This window comes from Homo sapiens, chromosome 16 (genome assembly GCF_000001405.40).
Source record: "Homo sapiens chromosome 16, GRCh38.p14 Primary Assembly".
NCBI lineage: Eukaryota > Metazoa > Chordata > Mammalia > Primates > Hominidae > Homo > Homo sapiens.
The window spans coordinates 81,150,934-81,166,799 of NC_000016.10; the positions used below are offsets into that span (position 1 = coordinate 81,150,934).

The 15,866-nt window shown below is 50.3% G+C and overlaps 1 pseudogene across 1 annotated transcript in view, besides 1 other annotated feature; it reads right to left on the bottom strand.

Moving 5' to 3' along the window:
* The window catches only part of PKD1L2 (polycystin 1 like 2 (gene/pseudogene)), a 119,520-nt pseudogene that overhangs the window by 50,059 nt on the left and 53,595 nt on the right, over positions 1-15,866 (bottom strand). The window contains exons 19-27 of the transcript NR_126532.3: positions 14,906-15,030; positions 13,711-13,837; positions 12,667-12,798; positions 9,750-9,972; positions 8,691-8,884; positions 5,926-6,156; positions 3,304-3,405; positions 3,028-3,206; positions 834-980 (exon numbers count right to left, since the gene is read on the bottom strand). The product of NR_126532.3 is annotated as a polycystin 1 like 2 (gene/pseudogene), transcript variant 1, non-coding (transcript). The remainder of the gene's footprint in view (positions 1-833; positions 981-3,027; positions 3,207-3,303; positions 3,406-5,925; positions 6,157-8,690; positions 8,885-9,749; positions 9,973-12,666; positions 12,799-13,710; positions 13,838-14,905; positions 15,031-15,866) is intronic.
* Positions 7,178-7,678: an enhancer, noted in NCBI's record as "H3K4me1 hESC enhancer chr16:81191716-81192216 (GRCh37/hg19 assembly coordinates)". NCBI's record gives its function as "activates a minimal SCP1, AML or CMV promoter by ChIP-STARR-seq in primed H9 embryonic stem cells {active_cell/tissue: H9 hESC(primed)}" and the evidence as "EXISTENCE:reporter gene assay evidence [ECO:0000049][PMID:30033119]".

The following is a 15,866-nucleotide window of genomic DNA, read 5'->3' on the forward strand; positions in this document are numbered from 1 at the left end:
TAATATAATAATATAGCTAAAATACTATTAGTTTTGTTACAGTTAGATCATTGGAGTACAGTGGTTAAAAATCCCAGGCATGACGGAGTGCAGTGGCTCATTCCTGTAATCCCACGACTTTAGCAGGGCAAGGAGAGAGGGTTGCTTGTGGTCAGGAGTTCAAGACCAGCCTGGCCAATGTGGTGAAACCCCGTCTCTAATAAAAGTACAAAAATTAGCCAGGCATGGTGGCATGCACCTGTAATCTCAGCTACTTGAGTGGCTGAAGCAGGAGAATTGCTTGAACTCAGGAGGCAGAGGTCACAGTGAGCCAATATCGTGCCACCATACTCCAACCTGGGTGACAGAGACTCTGTTCAAAAAAAAAAAAAAAAAAAAAAATCCCAGGCATGGCCAAGCACAGTGGCTCACACCTGTAACCCCAAAACTTTGGGAGGCTGATACGGAGGATCCCTTGAGCCCAGGAGTTTGAGACCAGTCTGGGCAATATGGTGAAACCCCATCTCTACAAAAACAGTTGGGCATGGTGGTGTATGTCTACAGTTTCAGCTACTCAGGAGGCTGAGGTAGGAGGATCTCTTGAGAAGGTCGAGACCATCCTAGGCAACATAGCAAAGATTCGTCTCTACTTAAAAAAAAAAAAAAAAAAGAAAAAGAAAGTGAGGCATCGTGGTGCATGCCTGCAGTCCCAGCTGCTCAAGAGGCTGAGGTGAGAGGATTGCTTGACCCAGGGGGGTAGAGGTTGCAGTGAGCTGTGATCGTGCCACTGCACTCCAGCCTGGGTGGCGGAACAAGACCTTATCTTAAAAATAAAGAAAACAAAAATAAAGTACCTGAATTGTTTTCTGTCCTGCTCCGTGGCCACAGGAAACACCTTATCGAGGACGCAATCTCCAACATTGATGGATAGCCAGGAGTTGCACAGGAAATACCACTTCCGGTCCATCACCAGGTCATAGACCAGCACCCGGCTCACATACCTGGAGAAGGGACCCAGAGTTTTGAGGATAAGGTGGAGCAGGGGAGGAGACTTCACTGGACATCACCAAGGTAACAGTTTTGCAAACATGAACCCAAAGAACAAGAGCTCCTCAGAAAAAGAAACCATATTTTTCTTTGTTCTTGGTGCCTTAATTAAAATTCGCGTCACATAAGGAGGTCAGCTACTGTAGAGAGCCAACTCTGGGAAGCTGCCATGTTTCCACAAAGATGCTGCAAAAGGATGCATTCGGAGACCATTAACCTGTACACATGGCACCAAGCTCAGGGCCAGCGTCCAGGCATGAGCAAGTAAAGCCAAATTGTGTAAAGTGTGCATGTTCAGGCAGGTGCAGGCTGGGGTACGCAGAACATGGTCCTCTCTTGCGTTTCTTTCTTTCTTTTTTTAAATTTTAGACAGAATCTTGCTCTGTCACCCAGGCTGGAGTGCGATGGAGTGATCTTGGCTCACTGTAACTTCCGCCTCCCAGGTTCAAGCGATTCTCCTGCCTCAGCCTCCCGAGTAGCTGGGATTACAGGCATGCACCACCACACCCGGCTAATTTTGTATTTTTAGTAGAGACAGGGTTTCTCCATGTTGGTCAGGCTGGTGTCGAACTCCTGACCTCAGGTGATCCACCCACCTCGGCCTCCCAAAGTGCTGGGATTACAGGCGTGAGCCACCGCGCCTGGCCTCCTCTCTTGCGTTTCTAACCAAAGAATCACCGTCTATCTTGGGCTGAGGACTTTGTGGGTATCTTCTAACCTGATTTAGGTCTTTGAGGTATGGGGAAGAATTGAAATTATCTTGCCTATCCTGTGATGTCAGATCGAGCAGCAGTTTTCCCTGTTGCTATACAGCCAACAAGAACAGCAATGATGGCTGGGTGTAGTGGCTCACGTCTGCAATTGCAGCACTTTGGGAGGCCAAGGTGGGCAGATCACTTGAGGTCAGGAGTTTGAAACCAGCCTGGCCAACATGGTAAAACCTCATCTCTACTAAAAATACAAATAAATAAATAAATAAATTAGCTGGGCATGGTGGCGTATGCCTGTAATACCAGCTACTCAAGAGGCCGAGGCAGGAGAATGACTTAAACCCAGGAAGCAGAGGTTGCGGTGAGCCGAGATTGTGCCATCACTCCAGCCTGGGTGACAGAGTGAGACTCTGTCTCAAAAAAAAAAAAAAAAAAAAGAACAGTAGGGATAGCAATAGCCGCTCTTCACTGAGAATTTACTACATAGCGGGGGCTATGCTAAGATGCTCTTGATATGCATTTTCTCATTTCAGGAAGGGCAGCCCCGTAGGAATGCAAAAGCCACCTATGTCAAGGTCACAGGCTTTTCTGGGGCAGCTGACATCCAGTGATGCAGTACCTACAGGGATCAAGACCTGGGTATTTCAACCCAACTTGGGACAGCTCCAGAGCTCCCCAGTGGTGGACCACACTGTTGCTGGGCTGCATCACAGCTTGACTTTTCTGCCATCCTGCCTCCTTCCCTCTGTTCCCAGGTGCTGGTCCCAGGGCCCTGTAATAAACACCCTGCATATGCAACTCCATCTGAGAGCCTGCTTCCCGGGAGCAACCTACAGCGGCCACGCTTAAAATATTAATGCTTAATCCCATAGGTGAATTAAAGTGCTATTGTTTTTCTAAAGCCGCCAGCTACTGATGGGTGGTCAGACTGGACACCACTCATCTGGGTCACTCATTTTGGCCTCAGAATGCAGAGAACCTTGCTCCAAACTTGCCAGCTGTGTGACCTTGGGCAAGTCACAGGTTGATGCTGCAAAAGGGCCAAGGGTGGGGCTAGCACTGAAGATGGGGCTAGCTGTAGCTTCCAGTCCTTTTCCTAGCTACCGATCCAGTTTGTGTGGACCATGAACCAGTGGGCTTTTCTGACCCTCAGTTTCCTCATCTGTGAAACAGAGATCATTCTATGTGTCTTGCGGAGGCTTGCGAAGATCAGGAAGGAGGCAAATGTACAGTGCCCAGCCCTGGGCCTGTCACTCTGTAGATTCTCAAGGTTTGTCTGCCCCCAACTCACCACGATGGCCGGTCCCCTGAGTTGTCATGCCACAGCCGGAGGCTCCGCAGTTCTCCCAGGGGGAACAGGGTGGAGAGGAGGAAGGCATCCACTGCTCCTCGCTCAAAAACCGGAGTGTCGGGATCAGCCAGGTGGTGGGGCTCTCTCTCTCCATCCAGGCCATACAGGGTGACAGTCACCTGAAATCCAGAGACCAGAAGTGGCCAACTCCACAGTGGCATAGCAGGGCTGGGTGGGATGTGCTGATTAATCAGTGGATCTTGCATAGGCAGGTACCTTTGAGGACGTGGCTGCCCCTCGTCGGTGTCCTGTGTAGACTGTCACCAGGTAGTGGTACTGAGCAAAGGGATCATTGTCTTCCAGCACTGTGACCTTCACCTGAAGAGAAGGACAGCATTAGGAAGGCCTTGCTCAGTGGGTTCCTGCATCACCCACCAGCCAAGAAGGAGCTGATGATTTGTGATAATCATGAATTGGGCAAAGCAAAATTACATGTGCCATTTATTCATCCCCTCGGGTGAGAACTGTTCTTTATAAAAGCAGGGTTTCAAGTGCAAAACGCTCGGAAAATAAAAAAACACAAAGTACATTTTTTTCTTCTTCCTTTTTTTTTTTTGTTTTCAGACAGGGTCTCGCTCTGCTGCCTAGGCTCGAGTACAGTGCCGTGATCTTAGCTCACTGCCATCTCTGCCTCCCGGGTTCAAGTGATTCTCCTGCCTCAGCCTCCAGAGTAGCTGGGACTACAGGCGTGTGCCACCATGCCTGGCTAATTTTTGTATTTTTAGTTAGAGACGAGGTTTCACCATGTTGGCCAGGCTGGTCTCAAACTCCTAACCTCAAGTGATCTGCCCACCTCGGCCTCCCAAAGTGCTGGGATTACAGGCGTGAGCCACCACGCCCGGCCCCAAAGTACATTCTTTATGAGATATGACCCCCATGTAGTCCAATTGGAAATGAACTTGATAAGCTGAGAACATTGAATGTTTGACCTGGTGAACCATACATACTCTGTACATGTATAATTTCTCATAACATTTGGAACCAGGTGGTGTTTTTGAGGGAATTTAAAAGAAATGAAACGTTAAGATAGTTTAGCGACAAATGAACTCATGGAGATAGGAAGTAGAATGATGGTCAGCAGAGGCTGGGAAAGGTAGTGGGGGCGGGAATGGGGGGGAAGATGAGGTGGTTAATGGGTACAAAATTAGAAAGAATGAGTAAGATGTCTGCCGGGCGCGGTGGCTTACACCTGTAATCCCAGCACTTTGGGAGGCCAAGGCGGGTGGATCCCTTGAGGTTAGGAGTTACAGACCAGCCTGACCAATGTGGTGAAACCCTGCCTCTACTAAAAACACAAAAATTAGCTGGGCGTGGTGGCTGGCACCTGTAATCCTAGCTACTCGGGAGGCTGAGGCAGGAGAATTGCTTGAACCCAGGAGGTGGAAGTTGCGTGAGCTGAGATCACGTCGCTGCACTCTAGCCTGTGTGACAGAGCAAGACTCCAGGTCAAAAAAAAAAAAAAAAAAAGAATGAATAAGATGAATAAGATCTAGTATTTTATACCACAACAGGGTGACTACAGTCAATAATAATTGTACATTTAAAAATAATTAAAAGAGTATAATCGGATTGTTTGTGACACAAAGGATAAATGCTCGAGGAGATGGATACCCCAATTATCCCAATGTGATTATTACACCCTGCATGCCTGTATCAAAATGTCCCATATATCTCATATGTATATATACCTACCATGTGCCCATAAGAATTAACAAAAATTTTTAAAGAGTTTGGCAAAAAGAAAAGAAAAAGAAATTAGCCAGAGTTAGCCAGAGTTGGCCAGAGGCTATAGTCGACTCTGAATGCGCTGCCCAGATCCCCCTCCCACGCAGGGTTCGTTGCCTCAGTTAATGGGGTAAAAAATGCAACACCTACCTCTGTTGAGATTGTGCCCCCTTGGGGCAGCCAGCACCCAATGACCAATAGGCGGAGTGTCTGGGTGTGGTCAAGACCTGGGTATCTCAACCCGACTTGGGACAGCTCCGGTGCTCCCCAGGGTCTGGGCCGGGCTGTCACTGGGCTACATCACAGCTCAGCTTCTCTCTCTGCGCATGCTGCCTCCTTCCCTCCCTTCCCAGGTGCAGGTCCCAGGCCCCCTTAATAAACACCCTGCACACTCTGCATGCTCACCTTTGCATCGGAGTCTGCTTCCTGGGAACCAACCTACAGCAGAGGCACTTCAAGTATTAATGCTTAATCTCTTGGGTGAATCAAAGACAGCAGTATCAATGCTGAAACATTATCTTATTAAATTTAACCCACATGAAATCCTGAGTGATGTTGCTTCGGGGGAAGGGGTAGGAACGGATAGAGTTTCACAGCTCTGTGACAATGCAACCTTGCATTCATTCATTACCTCTTCTTCAGATAGCCATAAATATTGGCTGAAGGCCTACTATGTATGTGTCAGGCATACTGCATACATTGGAAAACAATTGTTTTTTTTGAGATGAAGTCTTGTTCTGTTGTCCAGGCTGGAGTGCAGTGGCATAATCTTAGCTCACTGCAACCTCCACCTCCCAGGTTCAAGTGATTCTCCTGCTTCAGCCTCCTGAGTAGCTGGGATTACAGGTGCATGCCACCACGCCCAACTAATTTTTGTATTTTTAGTAGAGATGGGGTTTCACCATGTTGGCCAGGCTGGTCAACTCCTGACCGCAGGTGATCCGTCCACCTTGGCCTGCCAAAGTGCTGGGATTACAGGCGTGAGCCACCGCGCCCGGTTGGAAAAAATCTTAAGTAGACAAATACCCTCTTCTCGTGAAGCCTAATATTATTTGAAAACAATGGAGTTTTCTCCAGGACGGTGTACGCAGCGCCAATGGTTCTCAGCCTCACCTTGGCCTGATCCTGAGCGTCCTTCCTCCTCGCCCAGATCACCACCAGCACGTAGACCACACACAGGCAGCCCACGGTGGTCACGACCACAGGGTTGTCCTCAAAGGTGGCAAAGAGCTCAGCAGTCTGGTGGATGTTGATGGCATTGGACATCACCAGGAACGTGCTTCCGAAGAAAGTGAGGTGGTTGCAGAGGCAGTGTGTCTGGTAGGGGCTGGTCCGAGGCCCCACCTACAACCCATAAAGGGGCTGTCAGTGGAGACGCTCGGGAAGCTCAACCCCGGCTCGCTCGAGCCCAGGGGAGGAGAACGGTGTTCGCTTTGAAGAGTGCACACTCTGCTGGGGTGTGTGGTGGGAAGACCGCTGGGAGACCAGCTTCAAAAGCCCCTTTTGATCTTTTTTTTTTTTTTTTTTTTTGAGATGGAGTCTCACCTGTTGCCAGGCTGGAGTGTAGTGGCGAGATCTCGGATCAATGCAATCTCCACCTCCCGGGTTCAAGCAATTCTCCTGCCTCAGCCTCCCGAGTAGCTGGGACTACAGGCATGCACCACCACACCCAGCTATTTTTTTTTGTATTTTTAGTTGAGACGGGGTTTCACCATGTTGGCCAGGATGGTCTCAATCTGCTGACCTCATGATCCGCCCGCCTCAGCCTCCTAAAGTGCTGGGATTACAGGAGTGAGCCACTGTGTTTGGCCAATATTTTTTATTTAATTAAAATATGGAGATAATATTATTTATATTTTTGTGTCCATCATTCTCAGTGGACAACTGTGTATATGTTGCCAGTCTGCTTTCCTTTTTTTTTCTTTTTCTTCTTCTGAGACGGGATCTCACTCTGTCGGCCAGGCTGGAGTGCAGTGACACAATCTTGGCTCACTGCTGCAACCTCTGCCTGCTGGGTTGAAGCAATTCTCATGCCTGTGTCCCCCAAGAAGCTGAGATTACAGGCAAGCGCCACCACACCCGGTTAATTTGGGTATTTTCAGTAGAGACGGGGTTTCGCCATGTTGGCCAGGCAGGTCTCAAACAGGCTGATCTCAAGTGATCTGCTTGCGTCAGCCTCCCAAAGTGCTGGGATTGCAGGCGTGTACCACAGTGTGATTCGCGTCTGCAATCTGAGCTTCTTGGGAGGCTGAAGCACAAGAATTGCTTGAACCCCAGAGGCAGAGGTTGTAGTGAGCTGAGATCACGCCACTGTACTCCAGCATGGGCGACAGAGACCCTGTCTCAAAAAAATACATATATATGGCAAGTAAATTTGAGATCTCCTTTGTCCCTCTTCCCCTATAGGCAACCAGGATCACAAATTTGGCATTCACCCCCGTGGTGCACCTGGTGCTCATTCACAGGACAAATATTTGTGGGGTGCTAATTCTACATCCAGCAACAGGCTAGGTGCTGAGAGGACACTGGTGTGACTAACTCATCCCAGTTTGCCAGGGCCTTTCCTGCTTTTCAAACAGAAAGTCCTGAGTCCCAGGAGCTCCTTCAGTCCTGGGCAACCCGGGACAGTTGGTCAGCTTATGCCGAAAAGCAAAATAACCTGGGGGAACCACAGGAAGAAAAAGAAGAAAAAGAGAAGGACACAGGTTTGAGTCCTAAGCTGGCATTGTGGCACAAAGAAGGTGTGATGGCACTTACACAGGTGGTGCCTTGTGGTGCAGGACAACATGGCCGGGCAGCAAGGGGACCGGAGTGAACCAGGGCAGGGGCTGCCATCTGTGCCTGTGCTTCACACCCACATGGCCACCCCCAATCCCCCGCGAGCTCACAGTCACCCCCTAGGGCCTTCTGGTGGGTAAAGAAGATGGTTTGTTTGTTTGAGACAGAGTCTTGCTCTGTCGCCCAGGCTGGAGTGCAGTGGCATCATCTCGGCTCACCGCAACCTCCACCTCCCAGGTTCAAGCGATTCTCCTGCCTCAGCCTCCTGAGTAGCTGGGACTACAGGTGCCCACCACCACACCCGGTTAATTTTTGTATCTTTAGTAGAAATGGGGTTTCACCATGTTGGCCAGGCTGCTCTTGAACTCCTGACCTCAAGTGATCCACCCGCCTCGGCCTCCCAAAGTGCTGGGATTACAGGCTTGAGCCACCGTGCCTGGCCCTACATGTAAGATTTGGGACAAGTCAGTTGAGTTTCCTGAGCCTTTGTTTTGTCCCCTGTAAAATGAGAGTCACAGCTGTCTTGGAGATGATTGTGCAGATCTGATGAGCCGATGTAAGCAAAGCATGGAGCTCTGCACCTGGCACAGAACTAAGGGCTGAGCTATGAGTTCATTCTCTTGGAAATGACACCCTGGCCTCCCTTAACAACCTAGAGGCAGCAGGCCTTCCTGAGTCATTCGTCGCCTGGGTCAATGACCATTTGTTCTCAGTGATGAACAAAGCACATTGTTCCTGTTGCACTGGGGGCTCCCAGTGCATGGAGGGAGACAGACGTCATTTAAATGATCTCATGCGTAGAGGTGAAATGACCCCTCTGCTTAGCGCTATGGATGAGGAGCACTGGGGTTGGATGCTCTGGATGTGTGTGCTCTGGGGGTTCACAATAGGAAATCTGACTTAGGGAGTTAAGAACAGTTTTCTCGAGGAAGCAATGCTTAGGCTGAAGCGAGGATGAGGCGGGTATCCTAGGCACCAGGAACAGCAAAGGCCCCACGGAGAGGCTCAAGATGCTGTGCCAGAGGCACCAAAAGGGAACCCTACATGAGCTGGGCACAGCCCACCAAGCTGCCTCATCTCCTTCACTTCGCTCTCCTTACCTGGCATCCTGAGTCGTCCCAAGTCTCCTGGACCTCATCCCAGAACACACAGTGAGACAGGAAGGTGGTGATGCCAACCGTGAGGTCCCTGCCGGGGGCTGGCTCCAGGTCAGACTCAGGGACCACAGTCAAATAGTAGACCCCTTCTCCAAAACGCAGGTCCTGTGGGCTCAGGATCCACGTGGGCAGCTCATCTGTAGGAAAGGGGGTTCCAGGTCAGCCTGAAGCCTCCTTGAGATGGGCGTTAAGATCATGGGAGAGGGTGACTGAGCCACTTGGCAGGGAAGCAGACCCTGCCGGTTTTCCCCCACCCCTGATGTCCTACAAGCACTCTCTCCTCCTGAGACCAGGAGCATAGAAGAAGGGGCACTCCCCAGTCAGGGTGCACAGCTGACTCAGGCAGACAAGGGCTCAAACACAGATTCTGCCCCTTATTGGCTGTATGAGCTCAGACCAGTTCCTTTTCCTTAACCTCTTTGTTCTTATCTGGAAAGTAGAGATTTTTTTTTTTTTTTTGAGACAGAGTCTCGCTTTGTCATCCAGGGTGGAGTGCAGTGGTGTGATCTCAGCTCACTGCAACCTCTGCCTCCTGGGTTCAAGCTATTCTTGTGCCTCAGCCTCCTGAGTACCTGGGATTACAGGTGTGCACCACCTCGCCCAGCTACTTTTTGTATTTTCAGTAGATATGGGGTTTCGCCATGTTGGCCAGGCTGGTCTTGAACTCCTGACCTCAAGTGATCTGCCCGGCTTGGCCTCCCAAAATGCTAGGATTACAGGCGTGAGCCACCACACTTGGCTGAAAGTGGAAATTTCAATAGTTCCCCCTGCCAAGGGTTGTCATGAGGATTGCAATGAGGTCAGTCCTATATGAGCTTGTAAACTTCTTTGGGGCATATAGTAAGTGCTCACCTAATGTTGGCAAATAGTAACACCAATAAAAAATAAGCCACTGAATGTGTGGGGTGGTTTTTTTCTTTGCTTTTCTTCCTGTGGCTTCTGATTTCCAAGTGAAGCTGATCATACCCCAGGCAGCAGCTCAGGAAATGGTCACAGGCCTACCTGGAGCCACCATTGGTACGAGGTGAGTTTGGGCATCGTAGCTGCTCTTGTTGGGGTGGTAGCCATAGCCCAGGCTAAGCGTGAGTGCAATGTCTGGTCTCCAGTGCAGCTGGATCCCCAAGGTTGCCTCCCCTGAAGTCACGTTCACCCACAAAGCTTCAGGACTGGTCAGGTTCAACACGGTCGGCTGGCTGTGTCTTTGTGAATGCCGGGGCAGCAGGATCTGTGATCAGAAACAATCCTATTGAAGGTGTGCCAGGAAGGCAATGCCAGCCCGTGGGCATCAGGACTGCTGTGTAGAGCTGTGTGGCCTGAGCACCTGGGAACAGAAATCCAGGCCGGGCTTTGCTCATTGTATTAGTTTCCTAAGGCTTCTATCACAAATGACCACTGTGGGAAGCTTAAGACAATATACAGTTGTTATCTTTTAGTTCTAAAGGCTGGAAGTGCAAAATCAGTTTCCCAGGGCTAGGGGAGAACATACTTCCCTGCCTTTTTCAGCTTCTGGTGGCCGCCTGCATTCCTTGGCTCATGGCCCCTTCCTCGCATTACTCCAGCCTCTTGCTTCTGGCATCAAGTCACCTTTTTGTCTTCTGGAGTCACCTCCCTTTCTGCCTCCCTTTTATAAGGACCCCTGGGAAGACGCGGAGCCCACCAGATAACCCAGGATAATCTCCCCAGCTCAGGATGGGCAAGACTCAAGCACATCTGCAAAATCCCTTTTGCAGTTTTGTTGGGTTTTTGTTTTTAGACAGGGCCTGGCTCTGTTACCCAGGCTGGAGTGCAATGGCATGACCAAAGCTCACTATAACCTTGAAGTCTCGGGCTCATGTGATCCTCCCACTTTAGCCTCCCAAAGTGATGGGATTACAGGTGTGAGCTACCACACCTGACCTCCCTTTTGCATTTAAGGTGACATATTCACAGGCTCCAGGGATGAGAACACAGACATCACTAAAATTGTTATTGAATTAGGCATTGATGAGAAAATTGTAGAAGACTAGAATAGAATCATTAAAATTTTGAAAAAATGTATTTAGGTTGCACCATGGTATGTTTACGTTTTTGTTTAAAGAAAATCTAACTGGACATTTTATTTTTTATTTATTTTTTTGAGATGGAGTCTTGCTCTGTTGCCCAGGCTGGAGTGCAACGGTGCGATCATGGCTCACTGCAAACTCTGCCTCCCAAGTTCAAGTGATTCTCCAGCCTCAGCCTTCTGAGTAGCTGGGACTACAGGTGCCTGCCATCACGCCCAGCCAGTTTTGTGTTTTTAGTAGAGACGGAGTTTTACTGAACACAAATGAGCAAATGCACGAGAAAGTGCTATGCAAACTGTTTTACTGTTGGCCAGGCTGGTCTCAAACTCCTGATCTCAGGTGATCGACTCGCCTTAGCCTCCCAAAGTGTTGGGATTGCAGGTGTAAGCCCTTGTGCCCAGCCTAACTGGACATTTTAGAGGCTATGTAGTGGGAATGGTTTATGTAACGAAGATAACTAAAATTCCAAACAACAGATTTATATAACCAGGAAAACTCTGGTTATATACCCAAGGATTGGTGAATGAACATGCATTTGTAGTTTTAAGTTAAGTACAATGATTAAGCTAGGGTAAGGACCTTTTTTTGTTTGTTGTTCTTTTGTTTTTTGTTTTTGAGATGGATTCTCACTCTGTCGCCAGGCTGGAGTGCAGTGGCACGATCTTGGCTCACTGTAATCTCCGCCTCCCGGGTTCCGGCCATTCTCCTGCCTTAGCCTCCCAAGTAGCTGGGATTACAGGCCCGCACTACCACACTCAGCTAATTTTTGTATTTTTTTTAGTATAGACAGGGTTTCGCCACGGTGGCCGGGATGGTCTTGATCTCCTGACCTGGTGATCCACTCGCCTCAGCCTCCCAAAGTGCTGGGATTACAGGCATGCGCCAGTGCGCCCAGCCTGTTGCTGTTATTTTTTAAACCAATCTTGGTTCACTGCAGCCTCGACCTCCTGGGCTTAAGCAATCCTTCTGCCTCAGCCTCCTGAGTAGCTAGGACCACAGGTGCATGCCATCACACCTGACTAATTTTTGTATTTTTTGTACAGATGGTGTTGCACATTGTTGCCGAGGCTGGTCTTGAACTCCTGGTCTCTAGTGATCCTCCCACCTTGATCTCTCAAAGTGCTGGGACTACCAGTCCCAAAGTGTGAACTACCAGGACCAGCTGGTAAGGATCATTTTGGAAAATTCTCTTCTCTAACCATTTTTTAAAAAAAATAATTGGCCAACTTTCAATTTCAACCAAGTTGAAAAAGAAGACAGAGGCTGGGCGTGGTGGCTCATGCCTGTAATCCCAGCACTCTGGGAGGCCGAGGCAGGTGGATCACCTGAGGTCGAGAGTTCAAGACCAGCCTGACCAACATGGTGAAACCCCGTCTCTAATAAAAATACAAAAAATTAGCCGGGCATGGTGGCGCATGCTTGTAATCCAGCTACTCGGGAGGCTGAGGCAGGAGAATCACTCGAACCCAGGAGACAGAGTTTGCAGTGAGCCGAGATCTCGCCATCGCACTCTAATCTGGGCAACAAGAGCAAAACTCCATCTCAAAAAAAAAAAAAAAAAAAAAAACAGAAATGTGGCCAGGTGCAGTGGCTCACACCTATAATCCTGGCACTTTGGGAGGCCAAGGTGGGAGGACTGCTTGAGCCCAGGAGTTTAAGACCAGCCTGGGCAATATAGTGAGAACTTGTTGCTACCAAAACTTAAAAAAAAAAAATCAACTGGATGTGGTGGCGTGCACCTGTTGCCCCAGCTACTTGGGAGGCTAAGGTGGGAGGATCGCTTGAGCCCAGGAGGCAGAAGTTGCAGTGAGCTGAGATCATGCCACTGAACTCCAGCCTGGGCCCACCTAACTTTTGACGACACCCCAAACTTCTACCTCGATATTCTCCGACAGATTCTTCACAGGTATGAGTTGACCACTAGGGCTGGTCACACGGAGGCCACCGACAGTCCCGCTGACATCAAAGTGGCTTCGGGCTGGAAAGGGGCTCTTTGGGAAACTCATGATCTGAAACCAAGAGCAAGGAGTGTTGGCCAAGGCCCCTGAGAAGCTGGAGGGTGAAAGACAAGGTCCTAAGACTCAAGGAGAAGTAGCCCTGGCGTGTGGGGCGGGTGGGGCCTGCCTTCGGCTGCTGCTGCTTCCCCTGGCATGTTTCCAGCCTCAGGGCTGAGGCCGCAGAGAACCTGCGCTAGAGGACCCATATCAGACTTGCTTGGGCTGAGCAATGACTGGAATGTAAAACCATCCAAGTCTTTTTTTTTTTTTTTTTTTGACACAGTCTCGCTCTGTCACTCAGGCTGGAGTGTAATGGCACAATCTCTGCTCACTGCAACCTCTGCCTTCCGGGTTCAAGCCATTCCCCTGCCTCAGCCTCCTGAGTAGCTGGGATTACAGGTGTGCACCACCATGCCCGGCTAATTTTGTATTTTTAGTAGAAATGGGGTTTCACCATGTTGGCCAGGCTGGTCTCGAACTCCTGGCCTCAGGTGATCTGTTCTCCTCAGCCTCCCCATCCAAGTCTTTCTTCCCCAAAAGCCAGTAAGTCTTTAAGAGAAAGATGTTTGCTTTCACTAGAGCTCAGGGAGTACACAGTTAGACGTGCTTTAATTTGCGGATGGAAGAGAGCCTGGGTTGGCCATTTCCAAGTTATGACACTAAGCTGAAGAGCTTTATTTCCAGTGACTACCTGAATCAAGGCTGTTGGAGAAATTTTGTAGCACAATGGAAAGAGGGTAAATCTGGGAGCCCAGAGGTGTGGGTCTGAAGGCCGGCAGAGCCACTTACTTGTGGCTTTGGGAAAATCATTGAACCTCACTGGTACAGCGGGCATCATCATACTAAACACAAATAAGGAAATGCACGTGAAAGTGCTCTGCAAACTGTAAAGGCTGTCCCCAAGGACGCTACTACCGTTATTACCTTTATATCCACGGGCTCCTGGCCGCCCTCCAGAGAGCTGAGGGAGGAGGCAGCGGGCAGCATGAAGGTTGCAGAGTCTGCGGCATCAGGGCGCAGGGAGGAGCCTTGCCAACTCCAGGGTTGTATTCTGGCCACAAGGTGAGGACAGAGGTGGCAGGGGAGGGAGGAGAAAGTCAGTGTTCGAGGGAGCCCTCACACCTCCTGCACTACTGGGAGCCCAGCTTCACCATCAGAGTGGGGGTGTGTTTTGATTCCCATAGGTGGTTCAGCATGTTTGTTTCAGCAGAAGCAGCACAAGAGGCAGCTAGACTGGAGGCTCCATGAGGGTGGGGCTTTGCCAGCCTGGTTTACTACTGTATCCCCAATGTCTACAGCAGCGCCTGGCATATAACAGGTAGTCCATCAGTATTTTCGTTGAATGAATAAATGAGCTTGGATGCAGGTTTTTCTCCAGGGTTATCTCCCCTTCCCACCTGGACCTCTGACGTCATGTCTTAACCCCGCCCCATCTTTTCTGGTCTTTGACCTTGCCCCTTTCTGATCTTGTTGGGGACCCCACTTCAGATCGTTCCTCTAATCAGGATACTGCTTTGGGAAACTGTCTGTGAGATCTAAGAGGGAAACCCTGGCAGGAGGAACTGAGGCTTGGGGCAGAGGGTCCCAGTGTTGCCAGCAGCATTGTCCAGCTCCTGCTTGTCAGGTGGAGGAATGGAAGGTGTGGAGCATCCCAGGTATGGCATCAGTGCTCACTGAGAGATGAGCCCTCTGTGTGTGTGTGTGTTTGTGTGTGCGCGCGCACGCCAAAAGTAAGAGGATCTTGAGTCCCTGCAGGCCCAAGGAGCAGTGGCTGGTCAGACACATGCACAGCATGGTTAACAGCAGGCTAGTCCCATTCATTCAGCCCCCTGGCCTGCACAGCTGCCATGTGACCGTCTCTCAGGACTCCTTCAGGTGGATCTAACACTGGGCTTGGCACTCCATGCCTCCCTTCCTGTGCTGTGCAAACACTCAACATGGTGACAAGGGGGCCTTCTCTCGGTGGGAAGCCCTTCCCAGCTCTAGGTCCCATCACTTCTCTAGCTCCAAGGCTGGTCTCCTGAGCTCTGCCTAGCACAGGGCTTTGGAGTGCCGGTGTGGAATGAACCAGGTTAGGGGATGAGCTTTCTTGGGGACCTGTAACGCAGCTGGTTTGTACCTGTTTGTGTACACAGAGATGGAGGGGGTGGCCAGCATGGCTGGAAGGCCCCCTGGCAGTTTTCCCAGCAGGAGGGTGGTCTGCACATGCTCCATGACTCGAAGCAGCCGCAGCACTGTGGCAATCTGAAAAAGGAGGCAGGAAGATGTTGCTATGGACCTGCTGCCATACACCATCTTTGGTTACTGTCACCAGGCCAATGTGGGACCTTCAGGAGGGATCGGGAGAGTACAGAGAGGAGGGAGTAAGACTGCCTCGGAGGTGGCCCAAGAACAGTACTCATAAAGCTTCCAGACTGGCTTTTGTGAGCCCATTCCATCCTCACAGTAACTCGGTGTGGCAGGGGCTTCACTAGCCCCATTGGACAGATGGGGGATGGAGGCACAGAGAGGGTAGGAGGCTGTGGGAGGTCACAAATTGATAAGGGGAAGAGCCAGGACTCACGGCAAAGCATATGGCTACAGAGCCCGTGTGCTGGGCTGTCAGACAATGTGGCTGTCTGGGCTGCTGACATCTGCCAGCACCCTAAGGCTTGTTCCAGGGGAAATGGACAGCTGAGAGCGAGGCCATTTCACCAGGTCACCTGGGCTTCGAATCTGCTCCCCACCCGTCCCAACCCCCAGATGAGATGCATCCTGACACCACGGCTGGTGCGGGGACCCAGGAAGGGCTGGATGTTTGCACATAATTCCTGTTGGGGCACAGATCGTGTGGGTGTGAGTGTGTGTGAGTGTATGTGTGCATGTGCGCACACACGTGAACACACAGTGTGAGGGTGACATCACTGCATGTGAATGTCAGTGTTTGAGCGTGTGTATGTGTGAGCGAATGTGAGTGTGGTCCTGAGCGTGTGTGGGTACAGTGTTTGAGTGTGTGAGTGTGCACAGGTGACTGCATGATTATGGAGTGTGCAACCATATGTGAGGGTCTGTGAGTATGTGAGTGCATGTGACTGCATGGC